At 47.6% G+C, this 25,978-nt stretch overlaps 1 protein-coding gene and 1 long non-coding RNA gene across 4 annotated transcripts in view; one reads left to right on the top strand and one right to left on the bottom strand.

The window, feature by feature from the left end:
- The window catches only part of TMEM108 (transmembrane protein 108), a 359,385-nt gene continuing 334,153 nt past the window's right edge, over positions 747-25,978 (bottom strand). For 2 of the 3 annotated variants that reach the window (NM_023943.4, NM_001136469.3), the window contains exons 4-6: positions 17,361-18,770; positions 8,188-8,342; positions 747-2,658 (exon numbers count right to left, since the gene is read on the bottom strand). In NM_023943.4, the coding sequence (NP_076432.1) occupies positions 2,536-2,658; positions 8,188-8,342; positions 17,361-18,770 (1,688 nt within the window). In that variant the 3' untranslated portion in view covers positions 747-2,535. The remainder of the gene's footprint in view (positions 2,659-8,187; positions 8,343-17,360; positions 18,771-25,978) is intronic. The other variant, NM_001282865.2, reaches the window with a different exon arrangement.
- Positions 16,729-25,978, top strand: part of LOC101927432 (uncharacterized) — a 48,388-nt gene continuing 39,138 nt past the window's right edge. The window contains exon 1 of the long non-coding RNA NR_189054.1: positions 16,729-16,859. This is a non-coding gene — a long non-coding RNA (uncharacterized LOC101927432). The remainder of the gene's footprint in view (positions 16,860-25,978) is intronic.

The following is a 25,978-nucleotide window of genomic DNA, read 5'->3' as shown; positions in this document are numbered from 1 at the left end:
TCCTACTGACCAGGACACTCCAACCCTTCCTTTCTTTATTGTCTTCCACTTTGTCTCTCTGAGATGGCCTGGGAGGTATTTTATAAATATCAGTGTTGGCTATTTGATGAACAGATGAAAGAACCAATTGGATTAAGTAAAGGCCAGTAGTGTCCTTGTTTATTCAGATGTAGCATTAATGCTGTGAACACCACCCCTGATGCACCCAGAAGGGGCATGCGAGCCTGTGTTACAGTAACAGCCTCCTATACGGATGACACTGACTTGGTTCTGAGGATCTGCATTATTGTGAATTCCAAGATGTATTGTCCAAGGCTGAATGAAAAGTTCAGGCTACTGATTAAGTTGTGCACAAATGTGTCATGTTTAGGCATTGTTATTCTCTACAGAATGGTAACACTCAATGGCCAGGTTAACTTCAGACTTCTCCGGACCAAAGATATTTACTATATAAATCCACTCAGCCCTGGAGACAGGGAGAAAGAGGGGGGGATGTACTTTGACACCACTGTCTCCAAAGACCTGATGAAAGATGAGTCTGTTTTGGAGAAACTGCAAACATGTTCAAAAAGATTTATTTTATCAAATGATAAACTGCTAATCCTATTAGCTCATCACATACATAAAACTCAACTTACTGTTAAATCAGATTAAAAAATACAGATGGATATAAAGTGGTGTTGGTACTGCTTAAGGAAGACTTAGAGCTTATCTTGAAAAGAATGCAAAATGTATTAGCAACAGAATCCTCTGGCTAATAAAATAAGTTTATTTATATATACATGGTAGCTGAAATCTGTGGATAAGGAAAAATAAGTCATACATCCACATATGTATATATAACATATGTATCTTTGATTACATATATTATATATAAATTTTACTTTACAAACAGATTTTTCTCTGTATACTTACACACATTGGTATATTAAATGTAACAGTTAACAGAAATATTATGGTAAGGTTAAAAAGGTAAGACAACAACACGCTAGAAAATTAAACTTAGAGAAACATTTAGTTGCTTCTTTGTGGGTTGAAGAGTCTTTGAAGAGAGACAACAACCGAACTCATGTGAAGGAGGTTCATACAACATTGAGAACACACTTTTGAAGGCCATCTTTTTTTTTTTTTTAAGGAAAATGCAGAAAGAAAAAAGTCATGATAGACTACAGCAACAACACAAACATATGACCCAATATTCAAGTTCAATTCCCAATCTGACTATAAGAGCATCTATATTCAAAATATACTATCAAACTATTTTTCTTTTAGAGAAAGGAAGTGTCAAAGCAGTAATCATCTCTCTCAGCCACAATCAGGAAAAAATAGAGAAGCGGCCACCTCTGGAAGCCCCTTGGGCGTCTCTGAGGGTCTGACGTTGTTGGCCGTGCTGGACACAGCACGGGGAGGCAGCCAGCCGGCCGGGAACAAGGGGAGCAGTGGAAGCTGAGAGCTGGATGGCAAGTCCACCGGCTGGTGCTGCGAGCAGGTTTGCAGTGCCAAGTAGGAGTATAATGATGTCTTCTCCCAAATGATTTGTTTGGGCAATCTTTTTTTTCTTTTTTAAAGATTGCAGGAGGAAGGTTTCAAAAATTATCGCTCTACTACCTCAAAGCTTCTTAGATAAACATGTTCCTCAGGGGCACGATACCATGGCCTTTTGAGAAAACAAAGCTGAACCCCAATAAACATTTGATCCTTGAAGAAGGAAGGGCAAGCATTTTAAAGCTCCAGGGCCGGGATCTGCATCTAAACCCTCTCCAAGAGAAAGGCACGGGTGTTTAATGCAGATGTGGGTGTTGGAGGGGATACAGGAATGGGCATAAAGGGAGCATTTTCCCACCAGGGAAAGGCAGTCCTGTTGTTAGCAGTGGAAGTAATGTTAGGGGAATATGGCCTTGGGATGCCTTGATGTCCTCCATGGATTCCTGAGGGCTCCATGCTCCTGCCTGCCATCCACAACTTGGATGGAATTAAACATGACATCCAATGGTGCCGTCATAAGGCTCCAGGGTACTCATCCTCAGAGGTGATGAGATGTTCCCTTTTCCTTCTCTGTGCATGAGTCTGCCGTCTTCCCCTGAGGCGGTCCAGTTCCCTTTACAGGTGTGCGTATGAGAAGGGAGGAAATGGGGTCACACCAAATCAAGAGGAACCAGAGCTTTAAGAATCACTCAAAGAATCGTGCGCTTGCACTGTAACATTCAGCTTCTACAGGAGGTCAGTCTCTTACCTCACCTGACCAGGGTTCCTGGGATCCCCAGGTGCTCAAGAATAGTTATTAAGAGAAGCAATCAATGCAACTGCTTTGCTTAGAAATACCTTTATTTTATAAAGCCACAGATCATTCTGTAAAGTTTTTTTTTTTTTTAAACCACACTTGTAAAAAAGATGTTGACAATTCATAGGAAAAAAAGCTGAAAATGTTTCTCATTAAGTCAGGGTTACACAAAGGTTATATTTATAATATATGTATTTGTATATTTATAATTTAGAGACGAAAAATACGGAATGGCAAAGTGATGCCTGCTGTAGTTAGATCTCAGATACTTGATCGTTTCCCACAAACAGTGTTTCTTGACAGAAGGGGTTAACAAGGACCATCCCAGTGTCTCTATAGTCGCCATTGGCTGGGGAGCGGGGCTCTGAGAGCTGGTCCTGGGAAGAGAGAGGGAGGAGATGGAGTGAGCTGGAGAAGGCTTAAGAGGTGGCCATTCTTAAAGAAATGTACACATGGGAACATTTATTTCAGCACTGATGGCTTGGTGCACATTTTCATCATCCCTACTGCTAATGCTGAGGTGCACAGCCCTCTATGCCATTCTTTTAATTAATTTGTGTGTGTGTGTGTATGTGTATATTTTAATTTTTGTGCTGTTCTTTCATATTTTTATAGCAGCTTTCAAAAAATGTTCCCTGCTTCTGGAATCACCCCAATCCCAGGTTGCCAGAGATGGTACTGCTTTCCTTGTCAAAGTCTGAGGGGACTTGCCATGCATGACACACATACAGTGCATGGCTCACTGCACTAGTGGCAAAACTCAGTCCACTTGCACCCAGACTACTTCCTGCCTCTTTCTCACAGACTTCTGGGAAACTTCTCTGCTTTTCCTTCCTGAATACACCTAGACTCACTCGCCTGTTTCCTGCTACCCACCTGTCAGGATCTAACAGACCTGTCAAGAGGCTTCAAGGGCCAATTCCTTCCCGCTCTGAGTCCTTCCAGAGCCTGGTCAGAATTATTGCCCCATTTCTTATAGCACTAGTGATGCTGAGCTGAATGGATCTGCATCTCTGTGTGACTGCATAATAAGTGACAGATGAAAATTTCAGTCTGTATGTTCAGTTGCAGGAGCAGAAAAGCCTAGAAATAGGCCATCCACTGCCCAGAAGGTAATCTGTATGGCTTTGGCAGGGTTTTGGTTTCACTTACCAAGGACAAGCAAACATTTACGGGCTACTAAATGGCTGTACTTGGATTTGGGCCCTGGTACTAATTAAGAGAGAGAAAAAAAGAAAGTCATAGCTTCTTCCAATTAAAACAGCTAATGTCTTGGAACCTTCAAGCCATTTCAGGACAAAGACTCAACTATAGGCCTAGGTATACTGGCTCATGCCAGATTTGCTTAGCCACAATTAATTCTCTGAAGTTTATTTTTAAACAAAACATACATAACAGATACTTTCTGAGGAGTACTTACTGCTGTATGAATCATAAGGTAAGGAAGAAATGCCATTGTTGATAAAATGTCTTTTCAGAAGACAAGAATTTCCTTCAGTGTCTGGAATTAGTTCAACACCTATCTAAGGGTGGATATGGGGCCAGCCATCTAAGGAAAATAGTGGAGCACTTCAAAGAGGAGACAAAAATCCCTTTCCTCCACCATGCTTTTGGGTTTAACTGTGGAGGCTGAGCTTGGCTTGTCATTTTATAGCTTTCACAAAGCAAGTCTTCACCAAAGGCAAAACCATGTGGGTATGTTTTGCTGCATTAAAGAGAGAGTTATTCAGGAAACAACCAAAGCAAAGGAGAAGAAAAAAGAAGGGAGGAGAGAAGGAGGGAGAAAAGAAGGAAGAAGAGAAAACAGGGAGAAGGAGGAGGAGGAGGTGGGAAAAAGAAAAAAGAATGGAAGTTTCCAAGCACTTGTTGGGCATCACAATTTTGTCTGTACAGCCCTGGATCTGTGTTTTGCTGCTTGCATCAACACAGCAGTGGGGGCAGGGCAACTGAGGAACTTGCTTAGGCAAACCATTTGGCAGTCTCCAAAGTTAGCAGCTAAAGGGCAGGTGGTGAGTACATGTCCTGAGGATGTGGAACATGGTGGAATATGAACTGGGACCTTATGATTGCTCTAGAGATGGTCAGCAGTGTGTGTGTGCTTGGCTGGCTTCATCCTGGCCCTAGGCTGCCTGCATTTACCCTCATATAGTGTGAGCCCAGAGAATTGGAACAAATTGTAATATTACTCTAAATAAAGCAGAACAAGAGGAACGGCTTGCTGGGAGGGAAACAGCAAAATCCAATCCACTCTGAAGCCAAGCTGAGCTTTGTGCTGCAGGTCCTATGGCGCCCTCCTGGTCTGAAGATCACGACTGGCTGGGGCAGCCCTTTCTACCAGAGCCTCTGGATTGTGTTGGACGGCAGCCCTCGTGCTCTGTGCCAAATGACTAACTGGGATGTTCTAAAAGCAAGGGCCTTTTCTATAGTGCGTTCACGAGTATTGTCCTTTGGCTTTGGTTTTCATTTACCAATTTGCAAAGAGAATATGAGAAATTTAAAGTTCAGGGGTTCACAGCCCATACCTAAAGTAGGACCAGCCCCTTTGTCAAGTTACATATTTTTTTCCACTTACTACAACAGATCTCAGGAACACCTTTTCCATGCAAAATGTGTACAGGCCACACTAAAGGTCAATGCTGCAGTGAAGCTGGCCCCTCGTTTGTCCTCTGCTTAAAAATTTTTCTTGGGCATTTACTGTGTGTTAGGCTCTGACTGGGTGATGGGTAAATTGTGGTGAACAACATTTATAGTTCATTCACATGATAAACATTTACTAAGAACCTACCATGTGCCAGGCACTGCTCCAGGTGCTGGGAATAGAGCAGTGAGCACAACAAACAATGCTCCTGCCTCAGGCAGCAGGACAGCCAGACCACAAACCAATCAACAGAGAGACAATGATGCAATGTCAAGTGGTGAGAAGAGCTCTGAAGACAAGTAAAGTAAGGAAGAGGAAACAGAATGAGGTTGGAGATTTAATTAATACAGAGTGGTAAGGGAGGGAGGGCCTCCCAGAGGAGGTGGCATTTGAACAGAGACCTGAAGGAATTGAGGGTTCAAGGTATCCAGGAGAAAAGCATTTCAGATAGGGTGCAAGAACGAAGCTCTAAGGTGGGGGCAAGCTTCCTGTGCAGGAGGAAGAGCAAAGAGGCCACTGAAGCTGGTGTGTGATCAATGGGAAGTGTGGTGGGGGCTCAGGTGGTGGGCAGGGGCCAACTTGTGAAGGGCATGAGAATGGGAGTCTGGATTTTATTCAAAATGTAGAGAAGAGCCACTTGAAAGTGGAAGCTGTGGCGGACATGGGATCCTGCCTTGAAAAGATCATCTGGCTCTTGTGCAGAGGGCAGACTGCAGAAGGCAAGATGGTAGTGGGGAGTCCTAATTTAGAGGCCATTGCAGCACTCATGGTGCGAGGGAGGAGACTGGCTTGGATCAGGGGCAGAGGTGCAGGCAATGAGAGGTGCTGGTCCTTAGGGAGAACCAATGAAATTTTCTGACAGACTAGAAGTGGGGTGTGCAGGAAGGAAAGGCAGCTGGCAGTACCATCTACGTAATCAGGAGCTGCATGTGAGGTTTGGGTTTTGGGGTTGGGAGGGCGAAATCAAGGGTTCAATCTTGGGTGTGTTGAGTTTGAGGTGCCTATTAGACATGTGCAGCAGGTAGCTGGGTAGGTGAGTCTGGGGCCAGGGGAGACATTAAGGTTACAGGTAGAAATCTGGACTCTCTAGTGCAGAGATGGTATTTAAGTCATGGGACTAAGTAGAAAGAGAATAGAAGTGACTGGGGGCAGTGGCTCACGCCTATAATCCCAGCACTTTGGGAGGCTGAGGTGGGCGGGTCACTTGAGGTGAGGAGGTCGAGACCAGCCTGGCCAACATAGCGAAACCCTGTCTCTACTAAAAACACAAAAATTAGCCGGGCGTGGTCGCGTGTGCTTGTAGTCCCAGCTACTTGGGAGGCTGAGGCAGGAGAATCACTTGAACCTGGGAGGCAGAGGCTGCAGTGAGCTGAGATCACACCACTGCACTCCAGTCTGGGCAACGGAGTTGAGACTTCATCTCAAAAAACAAAAACAAAACAACAACCAAAAAAAAAAAAAAGAAGAGAAGTGGTGGCAGGACCGAGATGGGGCGCTCCAGTGAATAGAGGTTGGGGAAAGGACAGGGAATCAGTAATGGGAGCTGGGGGAGAGCCTGAGAAGGCAGGGCCTCTGCTGCCATGTGACAGTGCCAGTGCTGCACAGATGGAGTAGGATGAGTGCTCGGAATTGGCTGCTGGGTTTAGCGATGTGGAAGCAACTGGTTACTCAAGTAGGGGAGAGGGGTACTAAACTAATATCAGACCAGTAGCATATCACAGCTCTAAAAAGGGTCACAATGAAAAAGCACAGGGAGCTAAGACCACGTGACAGGAGAGCTGAACCCAGCCTGGCAGGTTAAGGAAGGCCTCGCTGAGGAAGTGACATTTAGACTGGGCCCTGCAGCAGGATGGGTTGGAGTCACTGAGGTGAGCAAGTGAAGGGGGTGCTGGGGAGAGCCTGAAGATGTTGTAGGAGAGGCGACAGCCCATGCACACACCTGGAGTGGGTGTGATGTAACCTGGTGCTGTGAAGGAACAAAAAGAAATCCAGTGTGGCTGGAGCTTAGCAAAAGATGGGGAGAGGGGTGTGATGTGAGGCTGGAAAGTTGGCCTGGGTCTAGGTCTACCTTGCAGGTCCTATACAAGACTTTGAACTTTAACTGGAGAGAAATGAGAAGGTTTTAAGCATGTGAGCGATGTGACCACAGTTATGTTTACAAAAGCTCACCTTGGCTGCTCTGGGGAAGGGACCCACACGGGAAGGAGGGGTGGGGTTGCACCTCCACAAGAACTCTTCTCAGCTCTCACTGCCTTACTCAGATGTCTGTTATCTTTCTCCTGGGCCATCTCAATTGCATCCTAGTTGAGCTACCTATTTTTAGTCTGTCTTTCTGTGTCATTCCATCTATTTACTCATCCATCAAGCCATTATTTTCTTTCCTTATCCATTCGCTGATCACATATAGGGTGCTTTCACCAGGCCATCAGCATAATCCTTCTAAAACTGGGTCACCCAAAGATCAAAACTTTCAGTGACTCTCTGCTGCCCCAAACTAGAGTCCCAATGCCATAATACCCCATTAAGGCTGTGTCTAATTGGGCCTTTATCCTTCTTTACTGTTTCACTCTGGCCTCTACGCCACCCTCCGTGTGAGGATGGAAAGAGTATGGATTCTGTGGTTAAAGTCCTGGGTTCAAAGCTCAGCTCACTCACTGACCAGCCAGGTGTCTTGGGCAAATATGCTGACAGTGTATTCTTCTTTCCCTTCAGATCCAGCACGTATCCTCACCTTTCCTCAGGCTACCTCCTCTGCTGGAATGCCTGTTGAAATCCATTAATCCTTCCTAGCATCTGCACTGGGAAGGCTTTCCTCCTTGGGTTTCCACAGCTCTTTGTCTATAACTCGTCTGTGTTTGTGTTTCCCCTAATTGGCTTTGTTTTTGGGTGATGTTGGGGTTTGTCCTCCAGCCACATCTCAGAACCTGAGCCCCTTAGGAGCAAGCTCTCATCTTCATAGTGCCCTGGGAGTGCTCGGCACAAAACAGGTCCTCACTGAGTATTTGTTCACTTGTTCCCAGAAACCAAAAGTCCCAGGAACAGTGCTTCCAAAATTTACTGTGCAGAAAGCACCTGGGGATTCTTGCTAAAACACAGATCCTGGCTCAGTAGGACCAGGGTAGGGCCTACAACCTCTTGGGTGTTATTGATACTGCTGGTCCATGGGCCATACGTTAAGGAGCAAGGCACTCAGAAATGAGCAGATGCCCCATGGCTCTCTTTGGACCTGGTTTCCCTGCAGTGGGGCCAGCACTTTCAAGCTCATTACCTCAGAGGTTTCAAGGGACTGGATCTCCCTGGGCAGCTCCACAGCATGCCTGTTGAAGTAGTCCATGGTGATGGTGTTGTTCCAGTAGCTCAGGTTGTTCTCCGGGTTGGCGGTCTTCTTCTTCCTCTTCATGCAGCACACCGTCAGCAGGACAGCTATGGAGAGAGTGCAAGTCAGAGAGGAGAGGGAGGCAGCAAGGATGGTGCCTGGGTTGCACCACCGAACTGATGAGGAGAGTTCCCAGCTGGAGTAAGTGTATGGTGGGAAAAGGGGCAGGGCATGGTGAACTGTACAAAGTGAGCCTTAATTCCACAGAAGACCTTTACAGCAGAAGTTCACAGAGCAAAATCACGGGGCAGAAGTCTTGAATGCTGATAAAATAGCTTTTCTGGTACTATCATCATCATCATCATCATCAAAAAATCCTGTGTTAATAGTTATATAGGACTTACGTCCCAGGCATGGTTCCAAGGACATAGAAATATTCATTTAATCCTCTATTTAGCCCCATAAAGTCAGTACTGTTAGGATCCCCATTTTACAGATAGGAAAACTGAAGCTCAGAGAGGTAAAGTGATAGGCCCAAAAGCAAACCCAGACATCTGGACTCCAAAGTCTATGGTTTTTTTTTTTCTTTTTTTTTTTTTTTTTGATGGAGTCTAGCTCCGTTGCCCAGGCTGGAGTGCAGTGGCGCAATCTTGGCTCACTGCAACCTCTGCCTCCTGGGATCAAGCGATTCTCCTGCCTCAGCCTCCCAAGAAGCTGGGATATTACAGGTGCCTGCCACCATGTCTGGCTAATTTTTGTATTTTTAGTAGAGACAGGGTTTTGCCATGTTGGTTAGGCTGGTCTCGAACTCCTGACCTCAGGTAATCCGCCTGCCTCAGCCTCCTAAAGTGCTGGGATTGATTACAGGTGTGAGCCACTGCACCTGGCCAGTCTATGCTCTTACCAGCTGATTCCTGCCTTAGATTGATGCAAAAGCCCACCTGCACAGATGGCCTGAGGTGGGCTCCACACAGCTTGACTGAGCACAGTGTGACATGTGACCCTGTCTGTTCATCCCTGAGACTCCCAGGGCCCAGGAGGAAGAATTATGTCTCGATATTGTTGATTAACCATGTGTGAATTGAGTGGCTTGTGAGCAGGGAAGGCTTCTGAGGTCAGAGAGGTGGGGTGGCCTGTCCAGATTCACACTGCAGAAGGGTAACACAAGGACAAGGGTGACAGAGGCCTCTTGGGGAGAAGCCATGAAGTGAGGACTGAGTATATCCTGCCCCAGGTTCATCATCACCAGAGCCTCTGGGGATGAGGAGAGCTGAAGCCAAGAGCCACATCTGACATCCTGGTGGTGCCAACCATCTCTGTGCTGGGGAGTCGGGGTCCCAGGCTGGGCTGTCCAGAGAGGCCAGCACCGGGGGTTGGCAGAGGGCCAGCTCTGTTCGCAGCAGCCTGAGGGTCTGGCCAGCATCAGGGGTGGGTTCATGCCAGGGTGTGGGGCAGTTGCACAAGCTGGCACCTGTATAGGCTGAGACCTCACAGCCCAGAGCCCAGGGCCCTGTAGGCTGCCTGGGGAATTCTGTAGCTTTCTTTCCAGCTGCCAGCCTTGCTGGCCTCTCAACCTGGAAAGGTCTCTGTACAAGGTTAGGAGATAGGGTAAGTTTCTACTTTATCTTATCTGCTTTGATCAAAAAGACTTCTAATTTGCTTTTCAGTCTTCTAGATCCTTTTTAAAAAATCTTTAAAACATAGAAGGAATTTCTGAGTGTTAGGGCTAACGGGGATTTGAGAGATTAGCTGGTACAGAACTTTTCAAATATTGTGGATCTCTTTCCTCTTTCCCTCCCTTCCTTCCAAAAAACCCTTTCTTCAGATGGTTGAAGAGGAAAGGGGCAAGGAGGGGGCTGTGGTGCTCAGCCTGAAACTTGCTAATTCAGGCCGCCTCCTTATTCTAGAGGAAAAACTGTGGCCTAAAGTGCTGGCCGCCTTGCCACAGGTCACAGGTATGTGAGTGGCAGAGCTGGGACAAGATCCCGGGTCCCCTGTCCCCTTCTCTGGTGTCTCTGTTCTTCATTGTCACTACCTTTCACTCTGCTCCTGCAGCTGGCATGGTGAAACACCTGGAGGAGTTCTAGCTGGTGTGACAGAAGCCATAAAGAGGGAACCATCTGGGAAGTGGGAAAAGTGCTGTTTCCTCAGCTCCAGCTCAGTTTTGGTAGAGTTAGAGCTAGAGGGAGGGGAGCAATCAGGACAAACAGAACAGCTCTTCAGTTATCAGCCTGTAGGGGCACATCCCATCATGCCCCACAAAACACTGCCATAGACACAGAACACAGGCTGGCAGGGGAAAAGTGTATCTGTGAGTCAGATTTGTATAGTTTGCACGCCTCTCTAAGGTAGAAAGATATTTGTGCCTCTGATCTACTGAGCAGTTATAAGCAAACAGAATCAAAGTGACAGATGCCATCTTAGGCCTAGTCAATAGGGCAAAAGGGACATCGAATTTAGAATTAGAATCTAGGTGACAATCTATTACTTGCATGACTTGAGTAAGTTACTTAACCTCTCTCAGCGTCAGCTTCCTTGGGAAGATTAAATGCAGTCATACATCTGCCAGCACTTCAAATTGTCCCTGGTGCACAGTAGGTGCTGAAACAAATCAGCCCCTTCCCCCAGCCTACATTCTTATTCTAGAAGGTGGGGCATGGAAACCTAGAGAGGTGAACTTGCTCAAGGCCATGCTGCTAACCTGGGCTGGTAGAGGTTGCAGAATCCAAGTCCTCCGCCCCCGAGTCCAGTGCTCTAACAGCCCATGTTGTTAGAATGCCAGATGCAGAGATCCTGCCCTGCGGGAAGGCCTGGGAGTCAGAACAGAAAGTTCTGCTCCACGCTGTCTTCCCCTCACATGTTCATGCTCCTGGCCTGATTATATTTCTCTCAGGGAGTTTCCAGTGCTTCTCAAACACCATTTCATTTACTTACTGAAAGCCAGCCTGGCTACAGAAAGACCTAGGTTCAAATTGTGACTCTGCCATGTATTCCACCTGGAAAGTCACTTAAGATGAACTTCATAGGCTTGTAATGAGAATTAAAGAGATCATGGATGCAAAATGCCAAACACAATGCCTGACACACAATGGATGCTTAATTAATGACAGTTCTCTTCTTGTTCTCCCAACATCCTCTACAAGAGAGATCTAGAAAGAAAAACTGTGTTATATGACTATTGGGTGGCTCAAGGACAAAGCTCCACCTAGGGGTTAGAACATTCACTATTTCAGTGGTCTCACCTTTCATCCAAGAAAGAAAAGTACAAGTCAGACTTACAGGGTCTCTACTATATTCCCAGCACTGACCCAGGCACTTTGAAGCTTATTTAGCCCACATGATAACTGCCTGAGGAAGGCACTATTGCTCTTCCCATTTTCAGAACAGGTAACTGAAGGTCATAGAAGCTAATAGTATTGATCTTGATCACCCAACTAATTACTGCAACTTGAGTCCAGGTCTTGATGATCTTCAAGTTGATATCCACTATCCTGTATTGTCCTGAACACCGGAGGGTATAGAGATGACATATGCAGAAGCGTTTTGTAAACTGCGCAGCTCTATGCAAACACAAGATGTTAACTGTTCCCTTTCCCATTTAGTTGAAAAGCTTCAACTGCTCTGTTTCTCCTGAGGCAGTAGCCATCAAGACTCTGGAGGAGGTCATGGAGTCCCAATTTCCTTGAGTTTTAAAACAGAGTTGGGAATTAAGCTCTCTTGGGTTCCCAGGAATGTCACTGGGGAGTCATCCATGGCTTGTCAGATGTGTGACAGGAAGAAGAGGGGTCACTCCATTTTCAGATGGAGCCCTGAGTACTGTATTCACATTTGTGGAAGGGCATGCTTTCAGGTGATAGGATCTGCTGTGTGATGAGAAATGGAAATGAAACCCTGCAGGTCCCCTGAGGATTCAACCTTTCAAACAACTATTGAATTGCTCTTTCCCGGGCCTGTTTGAGCAGGCATTGCAAATCTTAAAAACAATAAGATGAATAATCATCACTGTTTGATCACTGCCATTTATTGAGTACCTTCTCCATGGCAGATGCTAAGATAAGACCTAACATGCATCATCTCTGATTTTACAAGTCTTCGAGGTTGCAGCCATGAAAATGCCCTGGTCAGCCATGATTGACCATGACAGGGGTACTAGTGCAGGCCTGTTCCTGCTGGACATGGAACCCCTCTAATGGCTTAAGGACTCCCACTGGCTGGCAGAAACTTTCTTAGAACAACACTGTAGTCTAAGACTCTTCCTACTGAATTCTCTTTCCTTCTCCCTCTCCTTTCATGGGGGTCAGGCCTGCACTGCAGTCTGGGGCTTCCTCTGCCTACTTCAGTTCCTTCCTGAACATTTTACAGGTGTTTCCCCCAATAATTCTCTTATATGCCTAATCCCATCTTGGTGCCTGCATCTCGAAGGAACTAACACAGTGGACAGGAGTCCCATTTTGCAGACAGACACTGGATCAATGATGAAGTTACTTGTGTAAGTCCTACAGCCAACAAATGTTAAGAGCTGGGGTTGTGTGCAGGTATGTTTGATTCCACAAGCCAAGTCTTAGAAGCATACTAGGCTTCCTCTCTAATGATCTATGCAGGCTTAACTGTGAGGACAGGGAGTGATGACACATTTCAGTTTGGCCCCTTTGTTTTGTCGATGAGAAACCTGAGACCAGTGAGGGAAAGGATTCGCCCATGGGTGCCAGTGGGAGGGGTGCACCTGGGCTGTGCACAGCCATTTCCCTCCTTTGGAGGCTGAGGGAGGAGGTCACAGGGAGGCCTCAGGGTATGGAGGGAGGTCAGGCTGGGGGGCTTAGTGTCTGACCCACCAGCCTGGCAGGCGGGAATGTGCCTGTAGAAGCCCACGGCCCTCTTGGGGAGAAGCCATGAAGTGAGGACTGAGTGCTGCCTGGAGGTGCTGGCTGGGATGCACAGGGAAGAGCTGTCAGGGTATGGGTCTAACACTGGAACAGCTGGGGGACATTCCCTGGATATCCCTGCATTGCCTTGAGGCTCTCCCATCCCTGTTTGATCCGTAAGCTCCAAGGAGACATGTTTCCCAGCCATAATGCCTTCTGATCCCAATCTCTTCTACTCTTTTCATTGGCAAGAGTCATTCTCACCCGGGTTTTCTTATATAATAATTATAAACTCATTCAGGGCCTGTGAGTGAAAAGGCACACATATACATTCAGGTCTAATATTCACTGAGCAACCATCAGCACAATGGTATGTGACCTCTTTGAATGCTGCACTAATGCTCCACTGTCTAGAAGGAGGCCAGACTGCTCTGGGGACCAGGTGCAGAGGGTGCCCTCAAGTGTCTAGTGTCAGAGAGAGAGGGGCTACTCCACTTTGGCCAGGGTGAACTTGAGTTGGTGATGACAAACATCTGCAGCTAGTCTATTTTTCTAATCTCACCCTCCAAACAGCCCCATCTTCTTGCAGGGAGGATGGGTGAAGGCATTTTCAAAAATGGACATCACATGTGACAAACAGGCAAAGGACCCTGACAGAGCCACAAAACTGACACGCTCATGAAAACTCAGACCGCTGACAATGGTGAGCGCCGACCAATTCAGCGCCAGGCGTGGAGGCTTCTGGCAAGAGTGGTGGGCTCTGTGCGTCCTGATGGTGGCAGCAGAGACCAGCTTGGGAGCCACCTGGCTCCTCTGCCCTAGCCCATTATGGCCTGAATCCAATCAATTTCAGTTCTCAGCACTTCTGAAAACGTGCGTGGCTTAGAGTGTCTGGCAGGGCTCAGGAGAGAAAAGCATTTCTCAGCCCCGGGACACATATATGCCTCCAGGCACTGGTTGTGGCTTGCAATCTGGGAGGGCAGGTGAACGGACACCCTCCCTCCTTGCACAGGCCTGGGATCTGCCTTACTCAACTCCCACTTCTACCAGGAGCAGAGGATCACCGCTGCCCAGCACCCCGCCCATCTGAATTCTGACTCTGGTGGCTTCAGAGAAGCAAGGTAGGGGCCAGTGCTGGTATGAAATGCCAGATGAGAGGAAACTGATGCATGCACTTTACTCCTGACTCAGAGTGCCTGAAATATCTGGCAAACTGGCAAAGGATGAAACCCTTCTTTGAGGTCTGTAGAGTAGCTTTAAGATAAATGAAGCCACTGAGAAGGTCCAAAACAAGGGGCCCTTAGACGTGGAAGAGGTCTGCTTTCCTGATAACTAGAGTGGTGCTGGGCTATGAAAACAGTCCAAATAGATGAGGATAGTTCCTGAGAGCACAGGGTTCTGAAGCTGGACAAATATTCTTCCACCTTAATGGCCCTCTCACTGGAGCCTTCACAGGGTTAACGATGGTCCCGCAGGAGTTGGGGCCATGACTGAGGACATGGAGCTGATGTGGAGGCAGTCAGGGCCAAGGCAAGAGCCTCCTTGTGTATAGTGGAAACGCAAGACAGACATCAAAGGGAGTGGGGTGTGCGGTTCCCAAGGGGCTACCAGAGTCCACTTTTATTAAAAGTTTGTGTCTTTCTTTAGAAAGTAATATGTTCCATCTCCAGCACCTGAAGGCTCCTTTCAGGGTGCCAGAAGAATCCTCAAGGGACAGTCCCAGGCTGTGTCCTTCCTCCTGTCTTGGCTGACATTTTTATGCATGGTTTAGGCAGCCCATGGGCTTTCCAGCTTTGCAATAAGATCTGATCTAATTTCAAGCTTATACATAACAGAAGGGCTGGGGGAGAAGTAGGAGTTCTTTTAGAATTGCAAAATCCAGGTGGGTGTAGCCTGTGGGGTGCAGGCTATCCAGCTCAAAGAGGGAGGCCCATATCTCAGATTCCCTAATGCTCGGCACAGTGTCTGGCACACAATGGGCACACAGGAAATCCTGCACTGAATCAAACAGATTTTGTATTACCAGATCTAGGCTGACTCACTGTGTGGTCAGGACCTTGGGTCAATCACTTCACCTGGTGACTCACTCCCTACCTGTAAGGTGTGGAGGACAGCTGGAGTCACTGTGGCACCTGTGTGTTTAGCAGTGTGTTTGCTTGTTCCTGCTTTTATGTCTCTGGCTGGTCTAAGATGGAATGATAAAAAAATAACGGAATGCACTTTGTAAACGAGAGCATCCTAGACACATGTAAAGATTGGAAAATTAGAAAGCTGTCTCTACTGTAGTTACTTCTCAGATATGACCAACCATTATTAAGAATTCATTGGCTAATAGGGCTACATTTTCTCATGATCATTCTTCTGTTTTAGAAGTGGGCAACTGCAGTTTTAAGAATAAATGTGTAAATGTGTGTTTTCATGAGAGACAATAAAGCTGTTTTCATTAAGAATGAAATATGCAACTTGCAAACACTTTTACTTTTCTTGAATTGGGTCCTTCAGCAGAAGCAGTTTGCCCAGCCCTGACATGGAAAGTTTACTTTGCTCATCAACCTGAAGGAGACCGAAAGCTATGAGAGGCGGCTCCTGAAAAGAATCTAGACTCCGGATATAAAAAGATCTTGCAACACAAGGCCAAGTGGAAATCATGGTTCGCATTAAAGGCATAAACCTCCTGCACTAACAACCCAGAGCAGGAGGAAAAGCTGGGAGACCTGGCTCAGCAGCCTTCCCTGAGGGAAGCCTTCGGGGCTTTGTTCCTCTTGAGATCAGGGCAAGCCTATGTATGACCTGAAGCCAATACAACCAGCAGAGCTGATGCCAGTGCTGGCTGCCTGAGTGCTACTAAAGAAAGAGTCCACCATCGGCTCCCTCTTCCGTAGCCAGACACAGGTGGAATGCTGTGCTTCCTTTTGGGAGACAAAGCAGAAGCTACCCCAGAGGGGGCAGATGGGAGACAGGCCCAGGCAATGCAGCCCTACAAAGAAGACTTGAAGGGCCGGGGCTGAGCAGCTTGGATGAAGAGAAGGCTGCCTTTCAGAGCTGTTTCAAATGTTTCAGACGTTGCTAGACAAACTAGAGTTGTATGGCTTCAGATGGCACAGCTTAGGGCCATAGAGTGGGAATCACAAGAAGGCAAACTTTAGGCCCCCAGGAGAGCTGGACAACAACCTGGAGGGTCAGAGGAGAATGGGCTGTCCAAGGAGCGGGGATATGAGGGTGGGGCAGTGTGGCCATCCCTGGAAGGGGTAAGGGAGTGGCAGATGGTAACCATTTGGGGTGGGGTGTGGCTGAGGATTCCTGCAAGGCTATCAGAGAAACTCTAAGAATCATAAGAATCAAAGCTCAAGTACATGAGGGAAGACATAATGAAATCCCTAAAGTTCTGAGAGGTTGTACCAGATTCTTTATGGAGAATACAGAGAGAATGCCTCCTGACTCCTCATTCACAGAGTGCCAGGCAGCAGCAAGGAGAAGCTGGTGGCCTTGGGAGGGCAAAAACTAAGGACAAGGTCCACAATGCAATCAGCTCACATCACCTACGAACAAATAAAGTGGGGTGGGGGTGGAGAGTTGCTAGAGTTTACGTAACTCTCAAGCCTTAATTTAGCTGCAAGAACTAGGTTTTTGCCAAAGCTATAGAACTTCCCACCAGATGAAAGCTTTATCTCTTTTTCTTTCTTAGGAGAAGAGAGACAGAAGGAGAGAAGAGGGGCAGGAGGAGAGAAAACACAAGAAAGAGGATGGAAGATAAAGAGGAAGGTGAGGGGTTTGCTAGTTGGAGGCTGTAAATTTTGAAGCATCGACATTGACCTACGGTGTCTTGGTGCCAGGTTGCTAGAGGCATTGGCAGGCTACCTTGAGGCAGAGTGGTGTCATGACAAGGGCACTGGGCTGGAAGACAGCTGCTACAAGCTCTCAGCCCAGCCCTGCCTCTCACTAATTCTGGGATCCTGGGTGAACCATGTCACTGCTAGCTTGGCATTTTTTTTCTGCAAAATGCAGGGTTGGATTAGACTGCCTGTAAGGTCCTCCCCCAGCTCCTGGGAGTTGTGACTTTATGATCAGCAGGCATTCAAGCCATGGCCAGGCAGAGCTGAGGACTAGGGTCAGGGATAACCTGTCCTGATACCTAGTTTCCTGAGATTCTGGGAATTTTTGTAGCCCACTTGGCAAGGATGCCAAATCAGGGACAAAGGAATGCTGGGGTTGAGCCAGTGATGTGGTAGAGGGAGAGGATGGGTGGGAGAGGGCGGCACTTACAGCAGGAGGAGATGGGCACGCTGATGGCCAGGATCACCCAGGCGATATCCATCTTGCTCAGGCAGATGGTGGCTCTGTGCTGCGGTTTGTCCCCCTCGGCCACATGGGAGATGTTCCCTGCTGTCCCAGGCTTCCAGGTCCCGGCGGGGACCAGGCGGTTGAGGAAATTGCCTGTGGCTGTGGATACCACTGTGGAGAGAGGACTGGGCACCCGGTCGGTCATGGTGAGGGTGGCCACAGTCTCCTCCTTGGCTCCAGAAATAGTGCTTTCTGAGACCCTGGAGGGATGGGTTGGAGCTTGTGGGGTTGTGGATGCTCCCTGAGGAATCCCCTGGGAAGGGGCTGAGACACTGGTATCGAAGGCAGCTGGGGTGGGCCCCGTGGCAGCCGTGAAGACCCCAGAGCTGGTAGACAGAGGTCTGCTGGTGCCAGGGGTAACAGTAAGCCAAGAGTCACTATGGCTGGGGCCATCCTGTGGGTCACCGTGGTGGGGGCGCTGAGAAGGCACTGGGGCAGCTTGTGGACTGACAGGGGCACCTGAGGCTGCTGTGGCATCTGGTGTCCCTCCTTGGCTGGTGAAGGTAGAACCACCCCCCTGGGCTGCTCTGCGAAGGCCTGGCTTGTCCTTTGCAGGCCCCAGGGAGGTGGTGGTGGGTGCCCATGAGGTATTGCTGGGCACTGTGGTCGCAGCCACTGTCTGGGGCTGTGGTGAAGAGGAGTAGCCCCAGAGTGGGGTCCTGGGGGTGAGGGTAGAGGGCTCCGGTTCCACAGACCCTGTGAAGTTGCCCTTGTAGATCTGAAAGATTTTCCCCAGGGGCCGCTTCTGCCCCAGAGGTGTGGAGCTTGGATTTCGTCCTCGCTGTCCTTCTTTACTCCTGGAGTGGCCACCAGGTGCAGGCGGGACAGGGCGTGATGAATTACCAGCCCCTTTTCGGGAAGAGCCTGGGGGCCTGGGGGGCCTGCGTGTGGTAGTGCGGGGGGGCGCTGTGGTGGGGCGGCTGGTGGCCCCCGGTGGCTTTGTCAGCAGGATGGTGGGGGCAGCCTGCCCTCGAGGGCGGCCCTCTGGCTTGGAGGATGTGGTTGCCATGGCTGCTGGAGCGGGCCCTGTGGACAGGGAGCTTTCAGAATGGGGGGCGGTTACTGTCGCAGCGATGGTGGAGATGGTGTGCGTAGGAGGGTGCCCCTCTGCACGGGGTGTCGGTGTTGCCATGGGAGCTGCAGCCTGTGAGGGGGGTCCATCGGGATTGGGGGTCAGCATCACCACAGAAGTATGTCTGGTAGAGCTGTGGGGTGCTGTCACCATGGTTCCCGGGGGAGTGCCTGAAGGGAGGACCTGAAGAGATTCCCTGGGAGATGGTTCCTGGATGGCAAATGCCAGCGCTTCGGTCAGTGCCAAGATCAGCAGGAAACCTTGAAAAGGAGACAGAGAGAAGAGGTAAAATACTTGGGGAGCAGCATACAGCCTGGGCCTTTCTTACCTGTGGCCTAGGACAGTGCTGGGAACTCAGGAAACGTCAGGAGCATTCCTGAGCCCACACTAGTGCTCCTACACTGAACCAGAACTGTCTGTGGAGCTGGGGCAGGTCTATTAGGTAGGTGCTGCCTGGTACCTGCTGGAAAGAGAGACCAGCACCAGGGGAAGCAGAGCAGCTACCCTGGCCAGGCTCCTCCTTTCCCACATGCCTCAGAAACGCCATCAGCCCTCCCCACAAGGGCAACTTTTCAGAACAGGCTGGGGCTGGAGGTGTAGAAGGCTTGTGGCCTCCACATCTGCCTCTTCCTCTGCAGCCAGGAGTGGTCAAGGACAGCTTGCCTGTGGGGAAGCCTGTGTGAACTCTGTGTGAGCCACCCCAAGCCAAATGAGGAAGGCCTGGGTGGCAGTATGTACCAACTCTTATGCCCTTTTCTGAATCTTCCATTTATAAACTACACAAAGGTACAAGCAAACAGACCTCTGTCCCTTCAGGACCATTCGCCAAACAATTATGGAGGTTCAACCCTCTCCCTGACCCTGGAGGACACAAAAACGAACAGGGCAGTCTCTGGCCCTGGATAAGCTCGCACATATCCACAAACAATCCTAAAATAAGACAAAGATGTCTCAGTGCCATAGAAGAGTGACAGGCAGAAGAGGACCGGGGTCTAGAGAAGAGCAACCAGACCTGGAGCCCATAAAAGCACTTAGCACAGCCTGGAACAGAAGGTGCCTTCTACAAATGCCGGCTGGTGTCATGGTTGTTATTAACTGCTTTTCCTATGGCATTCATGTGGCTGAACTCTGAAAAATTGTCATTGGTGATATCCAGCCTTTTTGAGTAGAAGGAGCCCTTTTGAACATTAAAAAAAAAAAAAAAAAAAGGATTTTGTATGATAGCCAATGTGCATACTTGCAGTTCAAGAAAATGCACAAGGACAAAAACGTATATGTTTAAAAACATTTCTAGTTATGTGTGGATTTTATCAATCACAATAGCATGTGCCTATTTTTAAAAATGGTACCTCATGCAAGCATGACATGTAGGAGCCGTTGACAACACATGGGTTGGGAAGAGCCTGTCTCTACGGCTGAGGAAGGGCCAACAGTCCTCTGAGGCCTGATTCTGACCTGTTAGCACCTCCTTGTTCATGGATCCCCTTCTTTGTCATCCTCAGGCAGTTCCTTCAGCCCCTGCTAGGCTCCTCTGACTATGGAGAGAGATCTCTGTCTGCGTCTAATTACTCTCTCAGAGCGTCTTTCCTCCATCAGATTCCAGCAGGACAAACGGCCAAAGCAGGGGCCCCAGCTGTGATTCCCAGGTGTCTGATGGAGAAGGCAGGGCCCTGGCGAGAAGCAGAGATGGGGAGGAGATCTCCAGGCATGCCTTTGACACAAGGCCCAGGATCACCGTTTGGTGTGTGGTGGAGCCTGGGCATGGGCCTGTGTCCTCACCCTGCACTTCTAAATTGGTGGGGAGTGGGAGGCTGCGGGGGACTTTAGATTGCACTGAGGCTGTAGCACCCACCAACTCTAGGACCAAAAATTTGCCCTAAACAATCTATTTTTTTCTAAACTTTCATTCATGATCTAGACTAGCGGTCCCCAACCTTTTTGGCACCAGGGACAAATTGTCTTCCACTTGGTTTTGTGGAAGACAGTTTTTCCATGGACTGGAGTTGGTCGGGGGGGGTATGGTTTTGGGATGAAACTCTTCCACCTCAGATCAGCAGGCATTCAATTCTCATCAGGAGCACGCAACCAGATCCATCCCTTGCATGTGCAGTTCACAATAGGGTTTGTGCTCCTATGAGAATCTAATGGTGCCGCTGACCTGACAGGAGGCAGAGCTCTGGCAGTAACGCTCTGGCGGTGATGCTCCGGTGGTGATGCTGGCTCACCGGCCTCCCACCTCTTGTGGTGCAGCCTGGTTCCTAACAGGCCACAGACTGGTACTGGTCTGTGACCCAGTGGTTGGGGACCCCTGATCTAGACCACACACCGACAGCACATTCTGTGTATTCGAGTCAATCCTAAAACCTGTTTACTGAACACTTGCCCTGGCCCAGGCTTTCATGCTTTAATCCATATGACCACTTGGTGGAGCATGAAATTGAGGTTTGGGGAGATTAGGCAACATGTGGAAAGTCACACAGTAGCAGAAGTATGTGAAACAAGGGTTGTCTTTAAAGTGCATGCTTATCCTGGTCAACCACTATCAATGATGCAGAAGGAGGAAGAAGAGGACAGTATGTTGCATCCCAGAAGAATTAATGTGCTGTTATGCTCTGACCTGCTCAGGGTTATTCTGGTGCCCCTATCCTGCCCACAGCTTAACACCAGAGAGACAATCTATTCCTAGGGCTAGTGGTGGTGACCTCCATGTTTTGATGGACATTCCCTTTCAAGTGTCTGTTTAGCTCACAAGTGTTAAGTGTTGTTAAGGACTGACTTATGCACCCCCAAAATCCCTATGTTGAATCCCTAATTCCCAGTACCTTAGAATGTGACTATATTTGGAGATAGGGCTTTCAAAGAGGTAATTAAAGTAAAATGAGGCCAAAAGAGTGGGCCCTAATTCGATCTGACTGGTGTCCTTCTTAAGAAGAGGAGATTAGGACACACAGACATCTGGAGCACGTGTGCACAGAGGGATGATCATGTGAGGACACGGCAGCTAGAGGACGCCATCTGCAAGCCAAGGAGAGAGGACTCGGGGGACTCCAACCCTATTGGCGCCTTGAATTTAGACTTCCATCCTCCTCAAATGTGAGGAAGTACATTTCTGTCTGTGGTATTGTGTTATGGAAGCCCTAGCAAACTAATACACATGCCTTATGTTAAGAGATCCTCTGAAAAAGGAGAGACAGAGACAGGGCTTTTGTGCAGGAAGTTTATACTGGAAAATGATCTGTGGGGTCAGCCGTGGGGGTCTGAGATTAGTGAAACAGGGAAAACCAATCTGAGGGCAGGTTATGAGCTGGTCCAGGTGGGCACCTCAAACTCACAGGGGACGTCAGTGGAGCTGAGTAGGCTGCACCTCAAATTGTCTGCCTGAAAAGAACACTCACCCAGAGGCTCCCATATTCACTGATCAAGGGCTGCTCCTGGGATGCTCATCACTGCACTTCCTGACTGACGCCAGGTCTCCATTAGCTGGATCAGAGAAGTTCTGGGCCATAGGGCTGTCAGGTTCTGCCTGCACCCAGCTGGTGTTTGCTGCAACAGCTGGAGTTAAAATTAAGGGCCCGGGGAATCTCTGGGGCCAGGCACCAGATGTGTCAGATACAATAAAAGACCGGAGACCAAGGACACAGCAGTCTTTTGGAAGCAACATTGGCTGACCCCAGGGACAGGCCCTCAGGTGGGAGAGGAGCCACCATGGCCTCTAGGAGAACTTTTGCGGCACTCCAGAGGCAGAGAGAGGGGTTAATACAGACTGATCTTTAAAACACTCAGGGAAAAAAATTCCCCTGACTTTCCCATCACTGGCATTCCAGGAACTAACATCCTCCTAGCTGGGAAGCCTTTGACTGGAATCCTTGGTGCTGTAAGATACACAGCCTAAGTAAATATGTTTGTCTTTGTTGCTGCTGCCTATTTCCCCCACTCAGCTATCAGCATCCCCTGAAGTTATTGTTCTCTCTAGAACTGTAGAGTTACCTCTTAGCCCTTTCTTCTTTGGACTTTAGAGTACATCATCTTTGGCACAATGAACGGATACTGCCACCGTGGGTGCCAAGGGATTTTTACCTGGAGGATGATGTTTACATGTTACAGTGAGAGGGGATCTGGCATTTCACCTAATCCAATCCCCTCATTTCACAGAGTGGGCAACAGAAGGAGGGAAGTGACTTGTCCAAGAACACATTGCTGGTTGGGGACACAGCCTGGACCACAGCCATTATTTCAAAGCAACTTTTCATTTGTATAATAAAAATCCCTACAATGTTGTGCTAGCCAAATACCACCTCCAACCTCTACTGTCACCTTCAATATGGAAATCAGACAAGCATTTACCTCTCTTCTTTGGCACAAAAGGTTAACAACTGAATGCTATGCACACTGTCACAATAAACATCTGAGGCCTTCAACCCAGGGCTTCCCTAACACATGCAAATTTTCATTCAAGGCCCTTTGTGCTGGACTACACACTCCCCCTCCCCACAATCTGAGGCTACTGCCTCTTTGCATATTATTTGCATGGATTTGCATAATGGACTCTAGAGGCTTTAATTCCAAATATGTAGTAGAGACTAAAGCTAAAACCTAGCTTCACATGCTTGAAATGTGGAACCGATTTTTAAAACGTGTCTGAATATGGACAATTGTTGTGGGGTGGAATCTACATATTGATGGGTGTCCAGACATCACAAGAAGGTCTCCTCCTACTGAAAATTCCAATGCATACATGAGCTCAGGACCCAAGGGAAGGAAAGGTCCTCCTCCTTCTGTTTATTTGGTTGGCTGCCTGCAGTCCATATTGGGCATGACATTTGCATCTGGCAAAGGCAACAAGGGAATTGATGAAAAGAGAAATGGCTAATATGTACTATACACTGCTCAAAGGGCTAAGCCTGTACTGACATATTTAATTCTCACAGCAACCTCATGAAGCAGGTAGTATTATTAGCTCCCTGTTGCAATTGAGGAAAAGAAGCACAGAGAGGTACAGGAACTTGCCCATGGTCATATAGCTGGGGAATGGCAAGCTGCAATTTGTTCCTAGGCAGCTTGGCTGCAGAGTCTATGCTCTCGACTACTTTCATTTATTGTTCTGCTCTACCCATCTCCCCAGGGGGCTCTGCCATTCAAAAGCAATGATTCACATCTTTGGAGAACTGATTCTCTATTGTTGGTCTCTTGACTTTTCTTCTGTCTTGTTTTTTTTCTATCTCTATTCCAGGGCTCTGTATGACATATTTGGTGTTCTTTTAACAACCCAGTAAATTAAATTCATTTTGCAAGTAACCGGGGGAGCTTGTAGTAGTACAATAAAAGGACTGGAAGCCCCTGATTTAATTCTCTCCTCTTCCCCAATCCTAACATCTCATACACTCCATTGTTTGGTAGAATAAAAATTATGTATATAAAAACCACAAAATTATATATGTGTGTGTGTGTATATATATATATATATATATAACAAAAATTATATATACACACATATACATACACACTTTCTCTTAAAATTGCTTATATACACACAAGGCATATTTGTTACACAGAAAATTCATAAAAATAGAATTTTATCTTTTTTTCATAATTTTAAGTTTCTTCTAAGTAGATCTTCCTTCCCCATTAAACTAGGTTTTCTACTGCAAGATATTTTGTGCATTGCTGTTTTAAACCCTTTTAACAGCGAATCATAGCAGTCTGAGAAGTCTTCTGAACCATCCTGGACTCTTGGTGTGATTTTAAATTGTGTCTACAAGTTCTCTGACATTCTTCCCACCAAGAGGTAGAGTCTGTTTCCCCTCCCTTTGAACCTAGGTAGGCCTTTGTTACTGCCTTGATGAATACAATGAGGCAGAAGTGACACCCTACATCCCTTCTGAGGCTACAGCCAAAAAGCTCATGCAGCTTTTACAGGTTTCTCTTGGGGGCTTTGGCCCCCCGTAAGAACTCCAGTTCCCTCAAGGTGGCCACATAAAGAGACCTTGCAGAGAGTAACAGGAACGCCTGAGGAGACCCAGCTGTCCCAGCCCCAGCCAGGCACCGGACATGAAAGTGAAGAGCCTGCAAGATGACCCTGGCCACTGCTGGACTGCAATCACCCAAGAGATCCCAGATGAGAGCTGCCTAGCTGAGCCTGGTCAACCCTAAGATTTTTGAACAAAATAAATGATTGTTACTGCTTTAAGCCACTGTTTTGGTTTCTATTATCAATAGGTAACTGGAACACTTGGGAATTTAGCTTCTGCAATTGATGTTTCAACAACAAAAGAAAAGAGCATCTAAGCACACTAAGTCTGACCATCAGGGAGTTTGTTTTCTGCATGAGCAACAGCACACAACCTTGCCAGGAAATGGGCTTTTCTAATTTCAAGATTATTGTTCTTTAATTGGAAGGGATGTTGGGACTCTGGTATCAGCTCCTCCACTTTACAGATGAGAAAGCTGAGGCCCAACAAAGTGAAATGATTTACCTTGGCCACACAGCTACACACAGGGTTAGGGACAGGGAGGGACTCAGGCCAACTCATTGCCTGCCAATCCCATTAAGGTGCCAAACTCATACTGTATCTATCTATCTATCTATCTATCTATCTATCTATCTATCTATCTATCTATCTATCTATCATCTATCTATCTAAATTTCTTTTTTTTTTTTTTTTTGAGACAAGGTCTCACTCTGTGACCCAGGCTAGAGTGCAGTGGCGTGATCACAGCTCACTGCAGCCTTGACTTCCTGGGCTCAAGTGATCCTCCCACCTCAGCCTCCCGAGTAGCTGGGACTACAGGCACACGCCACTGTGCCCAGCTAATTTTTGAAATGGGGTCTTGCCATGTTGCTGGTCTCCACCTCCTGGGTTCAAGCAATCTGCCTGCCTTGGCCTCTCAGAATTTTGGGATTACAGGCGTGAGCCACTGTGCCTGGCCAGTGTTCTTTTTCTACTCACTGTGGTTCCAGTGTTCTAGTATGGTCCATCTCTGAACTCCAATGATTCCTTTTATTAAAGATCAAATATAAACTTCTAATTCCTTGGAGCATGGTTTCCCTTAACCAAAAATAAATATGTATCACTGACTTCAGGGTGAGCTGGGTGATTGATCTTAAGAGGCAATCCATGCCTGTGACTTCACTTCTTTATGAAACCAAGGAGTTTTGAGTGCAAATCTTTTCTGCTTCCCTCACTACAGGTTGCCACATTTAAAATGTTCCCTACTATAAAATCCTGCTGGGAACATGCCTCAGATAACAAGGCTGAAGGACAGAAAGTTCTGCTTAGAGCTAACTGGGACCATTGTTTGGTAGATTACAGACATCTCTGAGATTACTGGTTCAACAGCTAGACTGATGAGGTCCATGACTTGTACTTTGGGAAACTGCTTCCCAGAGTACAATCTCTTGAATACATTCCAGCAAGAAAGTCATGTGAGACAGGGCTTGTGTGCCCCAGACACACCTATGGCCTTCAGC

The sequence above is a fragment of the Homo sapiens genome, chromosome 3, assembly GCF_000001405.40.
Source record: "Homo sapiens chromosome 3, GRCh38.p14 Primary Assembly".
NCBI lineage: Eukaryota > Metazoa > Chordata > Mammalia > Primates > Hominidae > Homo > Homo sapiens.
Note: the sequence above shows the minus strand (reverse complement) of the source record. Positions and strands in the feature narration are given on the sequence as shown.